Below are 22,329 nucleotides of genomic sequence, written 5' to 3'. Positions count from 1 at the left end.
TTCTTCTTCTTTTTTTAAATGCGTAATTGCTTTGGCTGACTTCCAGCACTATGTTGAACAGAAGTGGGAAGAAGCAACATCCTTGTCTTGTTCCTGATCTTAGAGGAAAAACTTTTAGCTTTTTCACTGTTGACTGTGATGTTAGCACTGAGTTTGTCATATGTGGCTTTTGTTATTTTGAGGGGTATTTCCTCTATACCTAATTTGTTGAGATTACTTATTATGACATGATGTTGGACTTTGTTAAATGCCTTCTCTGCATCTGTTGAGATGATCATCTAATTTTTATTCTTCATACTTTTAATGTGATGTATCAAGTTTATTGACTTGTATATGTTGAATGATCCTTACCTCCCTGAGATAAATACTATTTGATAACAGTAAACAATCTTTTTAATGTGCTGTTGAATTCAGTATTCTGATATTTTGTGGAAGATTTTGCATCTATGTTCATCAGGCATATCAACCTGTAATATTCTTTTCCTGTAGTGTCCTTGACTGACATTGATACCAGTGTAATGCTGGCTTCATCATATAAATTTGGAAGTGATTCTTCCACTTCAATTTTTGGGAAGAGTTTGAGGAGCATTAGTGTTACTTATTTATCAATTTTGGTAGAATTCACCACTGAAGCCATCTGGTTCTGGGCTTTTATTTGTTAAGAGGTTTTTGATAATTGATTCAATCTCCTTACTCACAGTTGGTTTGTTCACATTTTTTCTTTCTTCCTATTCGATTTGGTAAGTTGTATGTTTTTAGGAACATATCTATTTCTTCTACATTATCCAATTTGCTGGCATATAATTGTTTATAGTAGTCTCTTATGATCTTTTGTATTTCTGTGGTTTAAGTTGTAATGTCTCCTCTTTCATTTATACATTTATTTATTTGAATCAATTTTCTTAAATTTGTTAAGACTTCTTTTGTGATCCAACATATAATCTATCCTGGTGGTATGGTCTGAATGTTTGTGTCCTCTCCTCCAAGATTTATATGTTAAAGCTAAACTCCCAAAGTGATGTTGTTAAGAAGTAGAGCCTTTGGGAAGTTATAAGGTCATGAGAACTCTGCCCTTATGAAAAAGGATTAGTGCTCTAACAAAAGAGGCTTGAGGGAGCTTGTTTATCCCTCTTCATGTGAGGCCATATAGAAGGCCCCGTCTATGAGGAACAGCCCCTCACTGGAAAATAAATCTACTGGTGCCTTGATCTTGGACTTCTCAGCCTCTAGAACTGTGAGAAAAAAATTCAAAATAATGAGGGCTATTTATGACAAACGCTCAGCCAATATCATACTGAATGGGCAAAAGCTGGAAGCATTCCCTTTGAAAACTGGCACAAAACAAGGATGCCCTCTCTCACCACTCCCATTCAACATAGTATTGGAAGTTCTGGCCAGGACAATTAGGCAAGAGAAAGAAATACATGGTATTCAAATAGGAGCAGAGGAAGTCAAATTGTCTCTGTTTGTGGATGACATGATTTTATATTTAGAAAACCCCATCATCTCAGCCCCAAATCTCCTTAAGCTGATAAGCAACTTCAGCAAAGTCTCAGGATAAAAAAATCAATGTGCAAAAATCACAAGCATTCTTATACACCAATAATAGAAAAAAAAAAAAGAGCCAAATCATGAGCGAACTCCCATTCACAATTGCTACTAAGAGAATAAAATACCTACAAATACAACTTACAAGGGATGTGAAAGAGAACTACACACTACTGTTCAAGGAAATAAGAGAAGACACAAACAAATGGAAAAACATTCCATGCTTAAGGATAGGAATAATCAATATCATAAAAATTGCCATCCTACCCAAAGTAGTTTATAGATTCAATGCTATCCCTATCAAGCTACCATTGACTTTCTTCACAGAATTAGAAAAAACTACTTTAAATTTCATATGTAAACAAAAAAGAGCCTGTATAGGCAAGACAATCCTAAGCAAAAAGAACGAAGCTGGAGGCATCACACTACCTGGCTTCAAACTATACTACAAGGCCACAGTAACCAAAATAGCAAGGTACTGGTACCAAAACAGACATATAGACCAATGGAACAGAACAGAGGCCTCAGAAATAACATCACACATGTATAACCATCTAATCTTTGACAAACATGACAAAAACAAGCAATGGGGAAAGGATTCCCTATTTAATAAATGGTGTTGGGAAAACTGGCTATCCATATGCAGAAAACTGAAACTGGACCCCTTTCTTACACCTTATACAAAAATTAACTCAAGATGGATTAAAGACTTAAATATAAGACCTGAAACCATAAAAATTCTAGAAGAAAACCTAGGCAATACAATGCAAGACAAAGGCATGGGCAAGGATTTCATGACTAAAACACCAAAAGCAATGGCAACAAAAGCCAAAATTGACAAATGGGATCTAATTAAACTAAAGAGCTTCTGCACAGCAACAGAAACTATCATCAAAGTGAATAGGCAACCTACAGAATGGGAGAAAATTTTTGCAATCTATCTGTCTGACAAAGGGCTAATATCCAGACTCTACAAAGAACTTAAACAAATTTACAAGAAAAAACAAACAACCCCATCAAAAAGTGGGCAAAGGGTATGAACAGACACTTCTTAAAAGAAGACATTTATGTGGCCAACAAACATGAAAAAAGGCTCATCATCCCTGGTCATTAGAGAAATGCAAGTCAAAACCACAATGAGATACCAACTCATGCCAGTTAGAATGGTGATCATTAAAAAGTCAGGAGACAACAGATGCTGGAGAGAATGTGGAGAAATAGGAAAGCTTTTACACTGTTGGTGGGAGTGTAAATTAGTTCAACCATTGTGGAAGATAGTGTGGCAATTCCTCAAGGATCTAAAACCAGAAATACCATTTGATCCAGCAATCCCATTACTGGGTATATACCCAAAGGATTATAAATCATTCTACTTTAAAGACACATGCACATGTATGCTTATTGCAGCACTGTTCACAATAGCAAAGACTCGGAACCAACCCAAATGCCCATCAAAGATAGACTGGATAAAGAAAATATGGCACATATACACCATGGAATACTATGCAACCATAAAAAAGGATAAAGTTTGTGTCCTTTGCAGGGACAGGGATGAAGCTAGACACCATCATTCTCAGCAAACTAACACAGGAACAGAAAACCAAACACCACATGTTCTCACTCGTAAGTGGGAGTCGAACAATGAGAACACATGGACACAGGGAGGGGAACATCACACAATGGGGACTGTCAGGGGTTGGAAGGCTAAGGGAGGTACAGCATTAGGAAAAATACCTAATGTAGATGATGGGTTGATGGGTGCAGCAAACCACCTTGGCAAGCGTATATCTATGTAACAAACCTGCATGTTCTGCACGTGTATCCCAGAACTTAAATTATAAAAAATAAATAAAATAAAATAAAATAAAATAAAGGATCTCTTTTGGGTATCAAATATGATGGTTATCAACTAATCCTTAGTATATAGTTTGCACTTAACAAATATTTGTTGACTGAATGGAAAAAAATCTGTTATTTATAAAGTACTCAGGCTAAGATATTTTGTATAGCAGCCTGAATGAAGTAAGACATCTGCATAATTTTCTGTGTGCATTTGAGAATAATATGTATTCTGCTACTGTTGGATAGAAAGTTTCACACATGTATATAAGATCCATTTGACATAAAGAGTAGTTCATGTCCACTGTTTCTATATTGATTTTTTTGTCTGGATATTCCATTCATTTTGAAAGTGGGGTATTGAAGTCTCTTACTATTAATGTATTGCTATCTATTCATTCTCTTAATTCTGCTTATATTTGGTTTATATATTCATGTGTTCTGATATTGAGTACATATTTATTTACAATTGTTATGTCTTCTTAATGAATTGAGTCCTTTATAATAATTATATAATAACCTTCTTTGTCTTTTGTTACAGTTCTGGACGTAAAGTCTATTTCTTCTGATGTATGTATAGCAACTCCTTTTCTATTTTGGTTTACATTTGCATAAAATATATTTCTCATCCCTTCACTTTCCTATTAGTGTTCTTGAAGTTTAAGTTAGTCTCTTGTAGGCAGCATGGAGTCTTTGGGTTTTGTTTTTTGTTTATTTTTCAATTCATTCAGCCACTCTATGTCTTCTAACAGAAGACTTTAATCCATTTATATTTAATGTAATTGTTGCTATGTAGGACTTACTATTGGCATCTTGCTAATTGTTTTCTGATTGTTTTAGTTCTTTGTTCCTTTATTTCTCTTCTGCCGTCTTCCTTTGTTAATTGATTTTTTGTGGTAGTACACTTTGATTATTTTCTCTATGTTTTGTGTATCCACTATAGGTTTTTGGTTTTTCATTACCATGAAACTTACATAAAGCATATTATAAAGTGGATTTTAAGCAGAGAGCAACTTAACATTTTACATTTTGAAATATTGTGTCTACAGTTACAAATTATTGTAGTTATAGGTGTTTTTAATACTTGCAACCTTTGGAGTACAGTTAAAAGTAAATTACACAACACCATTGCAGCATTAGAATATACTGAATTTTACTAAATATTTACCTTTACTTACCTTTCACTATTACCTTTACAAGTGAAATTTACATATATATAATATCATGTATTATTCATGGAATACATATATGTATATTAATGCTATTAATTACCATCCTCTTATTTCAGCATGGAGAACTCCTTTTAGCATTTCTTCCAAGGCAGGTCTAGTAGTAATGAACAACCTCATCTTTCATTTTTCTGGGCAAGTCTTTCATCTCTTCTTTATTTCCAAAGGACTACTTTGCTGAATAAAGTATTCTTGACTGGCAGTTTTATTCTTGCAGCACTTTAAGTATATCATCTCACTTTCTCCTGGCCTGTAAGGTGTTTCCTGAGAAATTTGTTGATTGCCTTATAGATGTTCCTTCGTATGTGACAAGTTGCTTTTCTCTTGCTGCTTTAAAATTATCTCTTTGTCTTTGTTGCCAGTTTAATTACAATATATCCCAATAAAATCCTCTTTGGATTGAATCTGTTTTGGCACTTTTGAGATTTATGATTCTAGGTATCCATATTGCTCCTAAAACTTGTGAGGTTTTCAGCTCTTATTACTTTAAATACACTTTTTGATATTTTTTCTTTTATTTCTGGAACCCCCATATGTATATTTATTCACTTAATGGTGACCTGTAAGTCTGGTAGGCTTTCTTCACTATTTTTGATCCTTTTTATTATCCTCTGTCTTAATAATTTCAAAAGATCAGTCTTCAAGTTTGCAGATTCTTTCTTTTTCCTAATCAAGTATGCTGTTTTATTTTGTTCATTGCATTCTTCAGCTACAGAATTTCTGTTTGGATTTGTTTGAAGATTTCTTTCTCTTTGTTGAACTTTTTAATTTGTTTCATTTAATCCTTTCCTGTGTTATTGAGCTGTATATCTGTCTAGGGTAAAGTGCTATGATGCTCTGATCCTTGAGGGCAATGCTCAGCAGAGACATGGGAACCTGAGGGCAGGGCACAGTGCCGCAGTAGCTCCTGCCCCTGAGAAGGGGACACAGTGGTGACTCCTTATCTAGGGAGAGCACTGCATCATGGATTCCAGGCAACTCTGTCTGCTGAGATCAGCATGATGAAGACACTGGGGTGTCCTCGTTTTCTAGAGCTCCAGTTGTCCATGGCAGAGAGGAGAATTCCTGAGGTCCCTTTCCTCTCCTATTCCCTGCAGGGAGAAATCCCTCTGTGGGGGATCCCTCTTGGTTTTGAGCTGCTCTGGAATGGGTGATGGGGTGACAGAGGTAAAATGTTTCCCAACTTTTCTGTGTGTCCATCCTCATTTCCTGTGCTCCACAGGGTTTCTGTTGCTCCTCATTAAAGTCCAGAAATTCCCCAGATCTATTTTCATTGATATGTGGTTGTTTATTTATTGTTTTTGTGAGGGAACAAGCATTGGGGTCTTCTATTCCATCATCTTGCTGATTTCGCACCTCTATTTTTTGCTAATCAATTTTTAAGAGTAGATACAGAAAAGTTGCCAAGATAATACAGAGTTTCTCTTCCCTTGATTGTTAACATCTTAAATTAACTATGACACATTATTGAAACTAGAAACCAATGTTGGTACATTCATATTTAAAAAAAACCACGCTTCCACTAGTTTTTTTTTCCCCCAATTTCTTTTTTTTTTTTTTTTCCTGTTCAGGATTCCATCCAGAATACCATGTTACATTTAATCACTGTGTCTCTTTAGGCTCCTCTTAGCTGTGACAGTTTCTTGTACTTTCTTTGTTTTTGCAACCTTGATAGTTTTGAGTACTGGTGAGGTATTTTGTAGCCTGTCCCTCAATTGTAATTTGTTTTATGTTTTTCTCATGATAAGACTGGGATTATGGAAGGTGTAATGGCATTTCCACCCCATAATATCAAGAGAACATGCTATCAACATCAGTTGTTATTAACGATGTTAACCTTGATCCCTTAGCCAAGGCAGTGCTTGTCAAGATTTTCTCTACTGTAAAGTTGACTTTCTCCTTTGTCATACTATTCTTGGGCAGCAAATCACTAACTTCAGCCCACACTCAAAGGTCAGGTTGTGGAGGGCGGGGGTGGGAATAAAGCTCCTGCCGATTTTTAAAATATCATTGTATTTTTTATTATGTTGTCCATTTTTGTAAAATTTTCTGCAACCATCTTAAACCTAAACATTTTCTTATATTCATTCATAAGGCTGTATTATTTCTGTTTCTTGAGGGGTCCTAATGTTCCTGTGAATTAAATCTGCTGGCTCTCCCTCATGCTGCTTCATTTCCTCAAGTGGTTTGTCATTAGTTTATGTCCAAAGGAGTTGTTTGTTTTGTGATCATCCTGTATTCTTCCACGTTTTTGTTTTGGTTTAGTTTGGCTTTTTGCTCATGCCGGACCCCTAAGTGTTTCAGTCGTCCGGACCCAATATTTATATTAATTTCTTGGTTCTGATTTCCCTCTATGGATTCTCAAAGCCAAACACCACATCTGAGAGCTTTGATTTCTCCCAGACGGCTTTTCCTGTCCATTCTAGAATCTGGCTAGCTGGCAAGCTTCCTTGCTGCTTCCCAGTGCCAACAGGTGAACCCATCTTACTCATACCCATCTCACCCACCCGACGCCCTCTGAGGTCCTGTGCTCTGCACTGAAGAATGCAGCCCCAGTCCTGCCCAGCTGAGGCTGAGGCAGCATCTTCTATGTAACCAGAGGCCAGGTGTTGTGTGGAGTCTTCTCTGCTTTCCACAGAGCCTTTGGCTCTTCTCTTAGTTTCTGAAACCTGTGGATTTTCCTATCTTTCAAATGCAGCAGAGTTTTAAATGATGCTTTCTATTTTACCTAGTATTTTTATGTGTTTGGAGTTAACCACTCTATGCCATTTGTATCTACCATTTTACCAAAGTCTCCTTTAATTCTTCTAGTAACACAACATTTCTTATATTGATACCACATATTCATTAAAGGAAAGGGAAATTTTGATCAAGGAATGTTATTCACACTCAGAGTTGCTGTCAGTCTTCTGAATAGCAATGTTTATAATTAAAAAATATTTCTAGTAGTTCTTCAGGATAAACGCAACCTTAACTTTTGAAATTAATTGTCGAATATTTATTGAGGATCTACTATGCATAAGGAATTTTGTGATGAGTCAATGATTAAGACATAGTCCTTGCTTAAGGAGTTAAACTGTAAAAATGGAGAACTATTTTAAAAAGTGGAATGTTACAAGTGATATAAAATAGTTACAAACGTGCTGCAAGAGGCCATAGAAGGATGAGCCAATTTCCAGCCAGAAAGACCTCAAAAGTACCATGCGGGAAGACAATGAGCTGGGCTTAGCAAATAGGTGTCATTTGGAGATGCAACAATTGCTTGTTGGCAGGTGTCAGATTATACCTGGATTCAAATAGCAGGGAATGAGAACATTAAACTACCTGGATTTGTGGTGCACACACAGGGTACCAAATAAAAGCTACTCAAAGCATGGTGCAAGGATGGGTCGTCAGTTTGTTCAAAGAGCAAAGTGTTTAAAGTGATTTCTAGAAAATGGAATGAGAAGGTCTTGGAGAAAAGCAATTGTTAAGAACAAGGTAGATTTAATTAGAAAAAACTTTTTGACAAAACAATAAATCAAAAATAAATACACAAACCAAGTTGTCAGCAGTCTCACCCAGCCCAGGTCCTCACCCTTGGCAAAGAGTCCCCATAAATAGGGTGCGAGCACCCAGTGGAGGGGCTACTCCTGCTGAGAGGAAGCTGAGCTGCACACCAGAAGTTTCTGTCCACAGACAGTGGAAGAGAAAGAAGACCAGGAAGCAAGAGCCCGAGTGCTTGTCATTCCACTTCCCCTGCATAGTCGCTAGGGAGAAAGCACTGCAGTGCTCTAAACCAAACATTTAAAAACATATTAACTTATTAATAACAATAACTAATATTAATAAGCATGTATATAGCCCTCTTTGTCTTCAAAGCACTTTATGAACATTAGCTAATCAATTAACAATGGCCTCTTTCTGATACTAATCTTCAGTCTGAACACAGAGACCCCTGGGGACATCAGGGGGGATGCTGGCCTAGTCCTGAGGTGGCTGCGGTCATCAGAGGCAGGGCCTGGGCCTCCTGGCCTCCAGGTGGCACACTGTCCAATTGCAATAGTTCTGCTTCCTACAGCAAATCTCAGAAAAACGCCTGTGTATTTCTTTCCTCTCTTCTTTTTTTTTTTTTTTTTTTTAATGTTCCCTTATGACTTTTGGGTAGAGAAAACCAGACTCATTTTCCCTCTGGGGTTCTATTTGTTCTTTCTGTGTTATTGTTTCTGATATAAGCAAATAAACCAACAAGACTCCAACGTATTTCTTTGTTACTCCTTTTATTTACTGTTGACGGAGAGACTTAATTAGATTGCTGTCTTTCCTCTAGGACTCCGTGTCCATGGGGCGTGGACCAGAAGCTGTGCAGACTGCCGTGTCTAGGGAGGGACTCGATCCACTAGAGGGACGTCAAATTTACCAGGGGTAGCGAGAGCCCTTTGGATGTGTCTGCTTAAGGATGTAGAATTTACACGGATCCCCTGACCCCAAGTGCATCTGCAGTGCATGGGGACATGAGCCTCCCCTGCTGGGGTGTATGCCTGGTCCCTTTGGGATTCCCTGGGTTTCACAGTGCCTGGTGCAGAGTGCTGCTCAGGAACATTTGGATTTCCCTGGGTGCTTGAGAATGTTTGCATTTATTTTGCAATGATCTTAGAGCAGAGTGCTGAAATAAGATCCTCAAGAAATCTCACCACTCTGCTCAGTCCCTTCAAGGCTTTTGAAGCTGCCTTCCGGCGAGTCACAGTGGAGCTGCTGTGGGGGTTCCTGCCCTGCTTCACGATGGGCTTCTAGTTCTGGTGGGCATTGCTGGTCTGTCATGCAGGGAAGGGAATGGAGCCCTGGGCTGTGCAGCCACATCTGGCCTGATGCTTAAGGCTGATCACACACTGAACATTGCCATGACAAAGCTGTGTCCCCACCCTTTCCCTGTTGATCTCCCATCAGTCATTAGTAAGTGGTCATGTTAGACAAGGCCTTTGGGCATTTTTCCAATACAAAGTCGCTTAGCATTAGAATTGCAGGATATTTTTTGGCTTCTCTACAAGCCTTTATCCAACCCATTTGAAAACTTACCTTGAATCATGGCAGATTCTGTAGATAGCTATAGCTTTGACCTTTTATCTCCATCTCTACAAGGTATCAGGAACAATTGTGCCATTTAACATAAGCATTTTCTGTTTTAGTAGGTCTCATGGAAATTTACTAAATGAGTAAAATGAGGTAGTATTTTTTGTTGTTTGTTTTTTACAATTTAAGAGTAAAAATGCATTTTTTTTGAGATGGGGTCTCACTCTGTTGCCCAGGCTGAAGTGCAGTGGTGTGATCATGGCTCATGGCTCACTGTACCCCTGACCTCCTACCTCCTAGGCCTTGGGTAATCCTTCCACCTCAGCCTCCCGAGTAGCTGGGACTACAGGTGCATGCCACCACGCCCTGCTAATTGCTATATCTTTTGTAGAGATAGGGCTTCACTATGTTGCCCAGGCTAGTCTTGAACTCCTAAACTCAAGCAGTCTGCCCACCTTGGCCTCCCAAAGTGCTAGGATTACAGGCATGAGCCACCATGCCCAGCCTGCATTTTTATTATTGTTCCAACATTGATGTTTTTACAGTCTAATATAAACAATGTTATCTTCTAGTCTTAATTTACATTTCAGAGGAAAATGTGCCTGAAGAATTAAGTATATGCAATCCTCAAATTTAAGAGATAAGCATTTTGGAAATTTGAAACATGTGAATTGGTGATTTTAATCTAATTCCCAGTTTTTTTTTTCCCAAGAGGAATGAGGACATCCACTAACAACCCTCTGCCCATTAGAGGCAGCAGGCCAGAGAGGAGGAACTCGGGTAGGTGTTTCCTTCCCCAGCCCACCCAGACACTCTGTGCGTATGTGTTTTTAACTATCTTTTCTGATCTGTGTCTCATAAATACATTAGTTGCTGAGATAGTGATCATTTCTTTGGAAAAAAATGCACATCTCATAATGGAAACAGTCTAGTATAAAACCAAAGGTCAGAATCATTGTGACCGATTGTTTCAGAATAAAGTGCAAGTCCCTTAAAGAGAAATGGAAGTTGACAGGAAGAATAAGAGAACACAAGGCATCTTGGGGCTCATTTGCTTGTCTTCTGCACTGACACAGACTTGCAGTTATTCCTGCCACGTTGGAAGGTGCACTCACTGCTCATCACCAGAGAAAGCCACTACGGAAGACAAGCATTTGCAAGTCCATGTTCCATTTGGAATAAGCCCCACATAGAGGCAGATTGCAGGGTCTGGGTCTATTACACCTGGACCACCCAGGGAGACTGAAGGTGTGGAGTTGTATGCAAATGTTTCACTTCGTTCTGCTTTGACTTACATTGCCTTAAATATAGAAAGAAGAGTCTTGAAATCCAACTGAAACTTGCATGATGTTTCAAGAAGAAAAATTATCGTTTCTAGGAACACAGAATAAGTCCGCATTTGGCTTCTTATGTTTTTCTTAATAAAATGATGTAAAAATTTTCCAGAACAGAGTGAAAAAATATAGATTAAATATAAAAGCCTTCAACAGTTAAGGAACACAAAAATTTGTACCCTCTGAATGAATATTTTAATTACATTACATTTCCTTTTAATATCTTTCCATGGGAAACTCCACATGTATTCAGAAATATACTTTAGTTTAATCATGCAGAATATGAGCCAAAATTCTATTGTCTAGTTTTCCAATTGGTTTGCCATTTACCTCAACCCTATAACATTAGTAACTTACACACATACACACACGCACACACTAAATATGTAAATATATGTCTAGATGTCATATATATGCACCTACACACAAATATATGTAAACATTTATAATATGTATCTGCAGATTCATATATATGTATATGTTTGTAATATTTCCGTGACAATTTCAACTTTTATATAACATTATATGTTTGTCTTAGCTCCTAATTCTATTTTAGGTATTTTGAATATAGAGAAAGACACTTCAAATACTTGTAATTTTTCATGATGCCTAAAATAATGACCTACTAATTTTGCAGTTACCAATTTGAGACTCACTCCATAACTCTAAAACGGTAGTTGGCTAATAGGTTTATGAGACACTTAAAATGGCAGTTGGTTAATAGATTAATGAGATTTTTTAAAAAAAATACAAGGATGAAAATGAGTAAGACTGTATCAAAATGTTAGATGTACTAATTTGATTTTATCTGAAAAAGAATCTCTGAAGGATGGAAGAGAAGTGAAGCCCCACAGTGCTCTGAGCAAGTTATATCCCACAGACTAAGTAGTTTTTGGACATTAATGACACCCACCCTTATCCATTAGCCACAGAGTAGGAATAGTGAATCAGATAAAACTTTCTACTTCACCAAGACCAGTCAAATGTACAAAGGAATCAGACTCCCAGGAACATGTTTTGGAGATTTATGTACAAAAGAAAAAATATCCAATTTTCAATTAAGACCAATGAGACTCACACATTTTCTATTTTTTGAGAGCCATATAAAAATGAAAATGCCCAACTTAAATTTGGAAAGTGGACATTTTTGCCCAAGCAACGTTGGGTGTAATGAGAAAATTGTTCCATAATGAACATGTTCAATTCTTAATATGGATAAATGTTCACATTTATTTTAACATTAAGAAATTATATTAGTTTAGTTTAGGGACTTCAGGATTTAAAATCATGTTTTCTTGGCAGTCCCCTGGCACTCACATCCATGAAACACTTATGGAATTCCTGTCTTGGTGGAGTATAGCTCTAGAGAATGTGAGGTGAGAGAATAGAAGTGATGGCCACTGGGTAGAAGTCTTGAAGTGGAGAGTTCAGAAATGGCTCAATTATCAATGACGATGACTCCAGGGTATGACCATGGGGGTTTGCAGCAGAGAAAAGGGGAAGCAAGGGTAATTGGGGATGAGGAAGTTTAAAAAACTGAGAAAACCCGATATTAGGAAGACCATCTATCTACATGGATATTGAGATCACTCAGAATAGTGACAAAAGTAGGGGTGTAGGAGACAGACCCAAAATTATCAATGATGGCAGAAACAAAGCCATTGGTGACTGAGTGGTAGAGAGGTGTTTTGGGTGGTAAACAACCAAAATTTTCAATTTATCAAAGAATAAATATATATGGCCAATAAATGGCCAATAAACATAAATGGCCAAGAAATAAATATAAATATAAATGGCCCTTTTGGTAATGATACATAAGACATTTAAAAATTGATAATATATAGTGTTGGCAATTGCTATGATTTGAATGTGTCTCCCAAAAATCATGTGTTGGAACTTAATCTCGAATGTGATAGTTTCAGAAGGTGGGACCTAGTGGGAGGTGTTTAGATTATGAAGGCTCCACCTTCATAGATGGATTACTGCTGATTTTAAGTGGATTTGAGGCTGTGAGCTCTACTGCTCTCACAAGTGCATGCTGTCTTGCCCTGTCACCTTCTGCCATGGGATGACACAGCAAGAAGGCTCTCACCACATGCAGCCACTTGGTCTTGGACTTCCCAACCTCCAGAACCATGAGCCAAATAAGTTTATTTCCTTTATAAATTACTCAGTCTAAAATATTCAGTTACAGCAGCAGTAACTGGACTAAGTGTAAGAAAATTCAGCATCCCCAAACCCTTCTGGTGAGATTGTAAATTGACACAATTTTTACTAGAACACAGTTTGGAAAAATATTTTAAAAATTGAATTTTAGTTATGATTTGACATAACTATTCTACCTGTATGGATAATATTATTGAAAAAATCATATTTGTGATTATATAAGAAAAGAGTAAATATTCACAGTGTATTGTTAAGTGTGAGGGAAACATTATCACATAACATACATTTTGTGAGAAAATACGTTTTCGTGAAGAAAAAATGAAATATAATGTTAGATAAATGTGAAATCTTTGGTCATAAGATTTTGAGTGATTTTTATTTTCTTTCTTTAACTTGTATTTACTTAAAAATCTATTTGTGTTACGTATTATTATTCCCATTTTATAGACAACTTAGTCCAAGAGATAATAACTAATGTTCCAAGAAAAAACAGCTAATAACTTGTGAAGAGGTAGTTTAAACTCACAAAATTTAGTTTTTCCCAAAAAGAAACAAGGTTTATGTTCACATATCATATATTATGTCAAGTGACAAGAACCAATTATCATAAATATCCCTCCAAAAAAGACAAAAGATATGACAGTTGAAAGATTAGACCATCATTAATTATAGTCATTAGTTTCAAGAAAAGAGGTCTAGGTGCCTCTTTCAAGGAAGCACTGTAAATAAATAAGGTGTTTCTTAGTTTGGTGATATGGGAAGTTGTAGAAGAGCTGACAAATGGGATAATTGTTATGCAAATTTAGCAAACTGAGTAGAACATCTGTAAGCAGAGTGATGTTTAAAATTGTCCATAGCTTATTCTCAAGATAGTCATCATAAGTTATGATGCTGAAGTCATAGACCTGGGTTAGGAGAAGAAAGGTTCCACTTGGGTTGTTGTCTTTCCTGTGTGTTCACCACCACACTTTGTTAAGTTTCTTTCTGGCTCCCACATGTCTTTTGCAAATCACATTGTGTTGCTGACTTCTTATTACCTTAAAGTAAGGGAATCTCTAATTTAAACTGTTTATGAATGACTGCTATCAGCGCTTCCACCATATAAACTTAGATACCTAGAGCTAGCAACTCTCAAGGCTAGGCCAGGGCACCCCATACAGCAGGACTTGATCACCGGTTTTCATACGAAGTCTCTGTCTTCTCTTCTCATTTTGCCCTTTAGTTGCATTGCTATGTTGTTGTCTCTGAGAATTTGAAAACCATCTAGTTTATGTGATAAAACTAATGATTTCTAATGTATAACTGGGAAGGTTTGGAGGCAGAAATTAGCAAACCATGGTCAATAGGCCAAATATAGCCCACTTATTTTCAATTGCTTGTTTTGTATTTTAAATACGGCAAAATTGAATAGTTGGCCCACAAAGCTAAATATACATATTATCTGATGCTCTGCAGAAAACATTTGCCAATGCCAGTTCTAGAGGACTATTCTAAAGCACCATTAGAGAATTTTAAAAATATAATTTCTTTCTCTTTCCCAAACTCAGGTATACTCTGCATGATGATGATGATGATGATGATGATGATTATTATTATTATTATTTTTGAAAAGGAGTCTCACTCTGTCACCCAGGCTGGAGTACAGTGGTGCGATCTCTGCTCACTGCAACCTGTGCCTCCAGGTTTCAAGCGATTCTCCTGCCTCAGCCTCCCAAGTAGCTGGGACTACAGATGTGCACTGCCGCGCCCGGCTAATTTTTGTATTTTTACTAGAGATGGGGTTTCGCCATGTTGGCCAGGCTGGTCTTGAACTCCTGACCTCAGGTGATCCGCCTGCCTCTGCCTCCCAAAGTACTGCAATTACAGGAGTGAGCCACAACACCCAGCCTATTATTTTTATAATTATTATAAGAATGTCCAGTCATCTAATCCATTCCAAGTGAAATCATCTGATTACTTTTATTATATAATTATCTTAATTATATTATTTATCTGCTTAAAAATCTTCAGTGGAAATGTATTAACTTTCTTGTAAAATCATATTACACCTGGAATTCAAGGTTTACTCCATCTGCCTGTTACTTAAAATTTCAGCCGTGACTTCCACTATTCAAGCCAACTTCTGCTATACACAGTTGCCTTAAGATGACTTCTTTGCCTTGCTTATGTTTGGTCCCTGTTGTATTTTAAATCTGCAAACTTTTCAGCATTTCTCTTTTCAAAAGGTGCAGCTTAATTCGCCTCTGGACTTGGAAAATCACTTCTACTGAGTAGAATGTGGTATAAATGATGCTATGTGACTTTCCAGACTCTGCCATAAAAGGAACATTCCAGGCTATGCCATAAAAGGAACATTTCCAATCACTCACTCTGCAGAAGCCAGCTGCCATGTCAGGAGGACATTCAAGCAGCCCTGTGATGGATCTGACAGCTCCTGGTAGCACCACCCTGGCTGCTGTGTAGTGAGCAGGCTTGGAAGCTGATCCTCACCCTTAGTCAAAATTTCTGGTGCACATCCCCGGCTAAAATCTCGACTGGACCTCATGAAAGACCCTGGGCCGGAGAACCACCCAGATCCCAAATTCCTGACCTACAGAAATTGTGGGAAATAATTTTAGACTACTAAGTGTGGGGGTAATTTATTATGCACCAATAGATACACCCACTTCACACCACCACCACCTTCATCTCTTCTACCATTTCCACCCTAACTGGCCTTCCGTGGAGTTGAACAGTTTGAAAAAGTTACTTGATCTCTTTTATCTTAGATTTCTCAAATAAGCATAATAAACTTATCTCTAGGATTGATGAAAGTATTGCATAAAAAAAATACAGGGAGAATCACAGTCCCTGAAACGTGGTAATGAAACACAGGACTAGCTGGATTTCCTAGGCTGACTAAGAATCCCTAAGCCTGCTGGGAAGGTGACTGTATCCACCTTTAAACACAGGGCTTGCAACTTAGCTCACACCCAACCAATCAGTTAGTAAAGAGAGCTCACTAAAATGCTAATTAGGCAAAAACAGGAGGTAAAGAAATAGCCAATCATCTATCGCCTAAGAGCACAGTGGGAGGGACAATGATGGAGATATAAACCCAGGCATTGGAGCCAGCAATGGCAACCCCTTTTGGGTCCCGTCTCATTTTATGGGAGTTCTGTTTTCACTCTATTAAATCTTGCAAATGCACACTCTTCTGGTCTGTGTTTGTTACGGCTCGAGCTGAGCTTTCGCTTGCCGTCCACCATTGCTGTTTGCCGCCGTCGCAGACCTGCTGCTGTCTTCTGTCCCTCCAGATCCAACAGGGTGTCCACTGTGCTGATCCAGTGAGGCAACCATTGCCACTCCTGATCGGGCTAAAGGCTTGCCATTGTTCCTACACAGCTAAGTGCCCAGGTTCGTCCTAATCGAGCTGAACACTAGTCACTGGGTTCCACAGTTCTCTTTTGTGACCTACGGCTTCTAAAAGAGCTATAACACTCACCTCATGGCCCAAGATTCCATTCCTTGGAATCTGTGAGGCCAAGAACCCCAGGTCAGAGAACACAAGCCTTGCCACCATCTTGGAAGCAGCCCACCACCATCTTGGAAGCGGCCCACCACCATCTTGGGAGCTCTGGGAGCAAGGACCCCCCAGTAACAGTAATGCTTATTAAGTGTGGCTATCTTGAGATTTTAGGACTGACATGTCATTACAGCTGTGAGTGCTTTCTCCTCTGGGAAGATGCTAGTGGCTTTCTTGTGGTCCTTCTCATTCCGTGACTTATGTTTTGCTGACTGCTCACCTGTTTCTCCCTCTTGCTGGACTATAAACTTCTATCAGATGGGGACACTGTCTTATGCATCTTTCATCCCCAATAGGTCTTACTTCAGATTGGCACACTCCACTAACACTTGAAGTAAGCAATATGAAATGTTTAAGTAATTTTGTATTGATGTGAAGATCTTTGAGGACAAAGGAGATGCCCTGAATGACAACACATCCATAGCCCACTCCCCGTGTCCTAGGCAAGCCCAGCTGTTAAGATCCCCTAAAAGTCTGCTCCAGTGATTGACGCTTAGTGTGGATTATGGACACTGTCTCCCACTTGCAGATAGGTATGATAAAATATAAATTTCAAAATTCTTTTATTTCTGCATGTTTCTTACTGTTTCTCAATTTCTGGACAAAAAAATCAGCATGTCTTCATCATTCCTCAGAACTGGTTGGGAGCTGATAGAGGATATTGCTTCTCCTTGGGAATGTGGGTCTGTGTGCTTAGCTGCCTTACATTTACATTCTCAAACACAGATTTTACAAGGTGCTAATCTTAGGCAGGCAGAATCAACATTCGAATGGTAGTTATTTAGCAAGAAAATGGATCCATTTGTCCTATACTCCATGAAGATGAGCCAAGGTCAATTCACTTTGCCTATTAAGATTTTGAAGATACCCGGTTGGATTACTTTTCACAGTAAAAGGTTATTTTCCACTGGGGTTTAGAAAAGATTTAAAAAATAAAAATAAAAACAAAAACCGTGAAGACTAATGTTAAGCCTTAGGGAAAACAAACTTTTAATGAAACTGCAATTTGCCAAGACTCAGCAAATTGCCTTTGTGAATAACTCACATACTATTAGCATTTAGAAAAGTGGTCCCATTGATGAAGGAAAATTACTGTTAGCTAAACCCATAGTGGGTGATTCCACATGGCATTCCAACCTTTCCAAACAAGTCACACCAGAGTTTTTGAGGGGACCTCTCAGAAGCTTTTGAACCAGAGCAACTCCATTTTGAATAGGAGCTGGGTAAAATGAGGCTGAAACCTGCTGGGCTGCATTCCCAGATGTTAAGGCATTCTAAGTCACAGGATGAAATAGGAAGTTGGCACAAGATACAGGTCTTAAAGACCTTGCTGATAAAGCAAGTTGAAGAAGCCGCCTAAAACCCACCCAAAACCAAGATGGCGATGAGAGTATCCTCTGGTTGTCCTCACTGCTACACTCATACCAGCGCCATGGCAGTTTACAAATGCCATGGCAATGTCAGAAAGTTGTCTAAAAAGGGGAGGCATGAATAGTCCACCCCTTGTTTAGCATATCATCAAGAACCATAAAAATGGGCAACCAGTAACCCTTGGGGTGCTCTGTCTGTGGTGTAGCCATTCTTTTATTCCTTTACTTTCTTAATAAATTTGCTTTCACTTTTCTCTTTGGACTTGCCCTGAATTCTTTTTTGCCCGAGATCCAAGGACCCTCTCTTGGGGTCTTGGTCTGGACCTCTTTCCAGTAACAGACCCACTTGACATTTTTTATGAGAATCAGTGTGGTCCACCATAGATTAATCACAATGCTTTCATGAACCTGTGCTGAGATTTTCTAATAGAGACCTTCAATCTGTGTATTCCTCTATAAGGAGTTTGTAAAGAGGCTTACTGATGGGTACAATCCAACAAGGCAGGGGAGATCATAACTTTTTTTCCATCAAATAATCCCTGGCCCAAGGCTAAGAATATGGGGACACTAGGAATATACTGCTCACGCTAAACTATGGTATTGAGAAAGCACATTGCCATCCAAGCACACGTAGCAGTTCGGCTTGTGCTGTGTGTAGCCCGGATGTTCATCTCATTCCAGAATTATGCAGGATATTTAGTGGCAGATTTCATCACGCTATGGTCCTTTCATCATATTTTCAAGGTGCATTTACTTGGGTAGCAATTATGGGATAGAAGCGAAGGAAAAATAGATAGTCATCAAGTTTTCAGATAGGTTGGTTTCAATCAATGCACTGAAGCTGAGGGTTATGAACTTAATCATGTATGGATAAATTGGGAGTCATTTTAAGTGCAATAGCAGAGTAGACATAAGGCTTTCATAGCTGACACCCAGAGCTGGCCTTGCTGCTCTAGTCTGAGTTGAGTGCTACCCTCTGTGTTCCATAAAAGTAAAGAATCTAAAAGGGAGAATGTTATAATACAGTGAGAAACTGTTTGAATATGAGAAGACATGATTCATTGAAGGTAAAATAACAGGATTTGGCAACATCCTGGAGAAAACAAAAACAATCATTGGGATATTTTTGGAAATTTAGTCACTCCAAACTATGTGGAAGATATTACATGAGAGAAATTAGTAAAAATAGCAACATGCTTAACAAGATTTGCTCCTTTGAAAGGTGGGCTGTCCTCACGTTGTTGGAAATGGACATGGAGGAAAGGTCCAGGGAGCGGGGTTTCATGTGGTTGCATGTTATGGAAATCCTGACCACAGTGACTCCTGGGTAACTATCTTCCATCTCACCTATCAGGAAGTCTGGGATAGACACGTCAGGGCTAGGGCAGCAGTGCCATCCTGGAGAAGGCGCTCCTGTGACTTCCCATTCAGGACCTGGTACAAGTTGGCATTTGTCATCCCTATCACTGTGACAAGGTCATACAGTGACTGCTTCCCCTCCTGATCTCACTTCTCCATTCGAGGGACAATAGAGAAAAAGGAGAAAGGCATCTTTATCAAGAAAGCCAAAGCCTTTCAGAAAACGGTGGGGTTTGGCTGATCTATCGCCTCTGGCTGGGCTGTGTCACATGGCAGTTGCTGTCTACAAAAGAGAAAAATCTGGAAAATGTGAATGCTTTTTGTACACACATTACCATTTAAAACGCACTTGCAGCTCTGGTAATCAGAAGAAGGTAGAATGTGTGTAAAGAAACTGCGGTATCTGCCACACTCATGTGTAGGAATTTCTCATCAGAAGCCCATAAGGTCTCAGTTTGGACCACAGAGAGGTGAACTGAAGACCTCTGCAGGCCTTCTGACCCTGAGCCCCTGTGGTTCCTCAAGTCCCTGCGCCAATATCACCATGGATTGGTACCACCTTTGGACTCGAGGTAAGCGGTGCACCCGACTTCTGTGTTCATACAACACAATATCACGAGTGGGCATTGTAAAGATTGTGTTACGTGCATCAACAACTAAATACACCCTAATTTTAACATTTTATTTTGCCTTTTATTTTGAAAAGTTATGTATTAAATATTATAAATAAAAATATCAATCTCTACTCCTCCCTCAGGAAGGTGGAGTATAACTTCCCACTGTTATGGGCCATACATAGTGAGTTCCTTCCAAAATACGGAAGGAAGTATGGAAAAGGGGAATTCTCCAGTACAGAAACCTGACAGGCACCATCTTAGTCGGGTGACAAGGACAATATCATCCGTGGTAAGTCATGTGGACCATAGGTACCCCTCCTGGGATGTGATAAAAATGGCACTTTATCTCTGTGGCCTTCTCAAAAATCCATCACCCTTGTCTGACCAAGAGAAAAAAATCATACAAACCAAAACTGAGGGACATTCTCTAAAATACCTGACTAATGCTCCTCAGATACGTCAAACTCATCCAAAACAATGGAAATTTGAGAGCTGTCATAGCCAGGAAGGGTCTAAGGAGACTTGGCAGTGACATGTAACGTGGTGTCCTGAATGGGATCCTGGACTAGAAAGCAGACATTAGGGGAACACTAAAGGCAACTGAACAAACTCCCGAGTTTGTGATAATGTGATAACGACAGGTCAGCATTGGCTCATGGACCGTGACAAATATCTGGTGCTAACATGAGATGTTACCAATGGAGGAGGCTGGGTTTGGTGCATATGGGAACTCTCTGTACTAGCTTCACTGTCTTACTGTAAATCTAAAACTGTTGTAAAATGAAAAGTTGATTTAAAAAAAATCAACCTTTGTGCACATCTCTACTGAAATACATGAATTCAACTTTTTCATTAAGCCTGAAGTTGGCTGAGGAAGGCCACTGCTTCCTATCCTAATACCTTCTCCGCTGGGCTAGAGGAGCCGGCCTCCTTGCAGAGACCTGGCTTTGTTCCAGTAGAGGCTGGCGTGTGGGCAAAGTGTCCAGAGCCTCTCCCCTCAATGGTTGGTCGCTGGGGAATATGTATGTGGATGCTGGTACTCTTCATTTCTGATTAAAACACACACACACACACACACACACACACACACTTGATGAAAAAGAAGATTAAAAGAAAAAACACCCCAGGGCACCCATAGTTATCTCAATTATTTATGGTATTTTGGAGTTCACCGAAGATCTAGCATTAACAAAAGCAGACTTATGGGTCTGTGTTTCATTTTCCTGGTGCTAATGGGGTAAGCACCACAAGCTACATAAGCATACGATATAAGGAAGTTTTTCTTTCAAATTGTAATCAATACCCATGTGGAAAACAACTGAGGTCCCAGGATTTATATCCAGTTACTTGTTTTTTTTTTTGTTTGTTTTGTTTGTTTGTTTTTAATTCAGTGCTTTCCTTTCTTTTATTCAAAAACTAAGATTACCTATGGGAAGGGCATGGCTGCAGCCTCCTGTAAATACCTGAGACCCTCTGTGGCCTTGAGCAAATCACTCAATCTCTCTGGGCCCTGGTTCTCAATCTGCATCCCCACCAGGAAAATTTACCATCCCCACCGCAGGTTTCTAAAAGCTGAAAATGTATGGACTGATAACTGTGAAATCAGAAGTCCTCTGAGATTGGTACAATGAGAAAATAACTTAGGTTTTACTATTATGAAGAGATTTCACAACACAATACATGCAAACTGAAGGTATAAATATCTGTGTACACATATACTCTTGCGTTTATGAGAGTTTATAAAACCAAAGAAGCATTCATTGATTTTTGTCTTATTGTAAAGTAAAAAGTAAGCAATAAAATGAGCCTTGTTCATAAAACACTAAAAATACTCCCCTTACCAGTAAAAACATACTTAACTAGTTACAGCCATTGCTATTTTGCTGGAAATTTGCATATCAACACAGTTCCTGAAGTTTGTCTATGATGATCATCACATTATATGGAGCTTTCTGTGGGAATATTCATTCTGATGGACACAATCTTGGTTTTCTGCTTTTACTTGGCTTCCTAGTGTTTTTTGACTGATGGCAGTGTGGCATATAGAAAAGAATAGGTAATGTGACGGCCAAAGTCACCTAACTTCTCTGAGCCTCAGTTTCCTTCTCTGTGAAATGTGCAACTGCTTGAATGTCTGAAATCGTGTCAGCAAAAAATCTCTTCCTATGACATTCCACAGGCCCTGAGAAATATCAGCTCTCTTCGCTCTTCAGTGGTGATTTTAAAATTTCAAAATTTATTGTCTGATGCATT

The 22,329-nt window shown here is 38.7% G+C and overlaps 2 annotated features.

The window, feature by feature from the left end:
- Positions 16,095-16,594: an enhancer, noted in NCBI's record as "H3K27ac hESC enhancer chr18:73650329-73650828 (GRCh37/hg19 assembly coordinates)". NCBI's record gives its function as "activates a minimal SCP1, AML or CMV promoter by ChIP-STARR-seq in primed H9 embryonic stem cells {active_cell/tissue: H9 hESC(primed)}" and the evidence as "EXISTENCE:reporter gene assay evidence [ECO:0000049][PMID:30033119]".
- Positions 17,253-17,795: an enhancer, noted in NCBI's record as "OCT4-NANOG hESC enhancer chr18:73649128-73649670 (GRCh37/hg19 assembly coordinates)". NCBI's record gives its function as "activates a minimal SCP1, AML or CMV promoter by ChIP-STARR-seq in primed H9 embryonic stem cells {active_cell/tissue: H9 hESC(primed)}" and the evidence as "EXISTENCE:reporter gene assay evidence [ECO:0000049][PMID:30033119]".

Source organism: Homo sapiens, chromosome 18, assembly GCF_000001405.40.
Source record: "Homo sapiens chromosome 18, GRCh38.p14 Primary Assembly".
NCBI lineage: Eukaryota > Metazoa > Chordata > Mammalia > Primates > Hominidae > Homo > Homo sapiens.
This window is presented reverse-complemented; position numbering and strand designations above follow the sequence as displayed.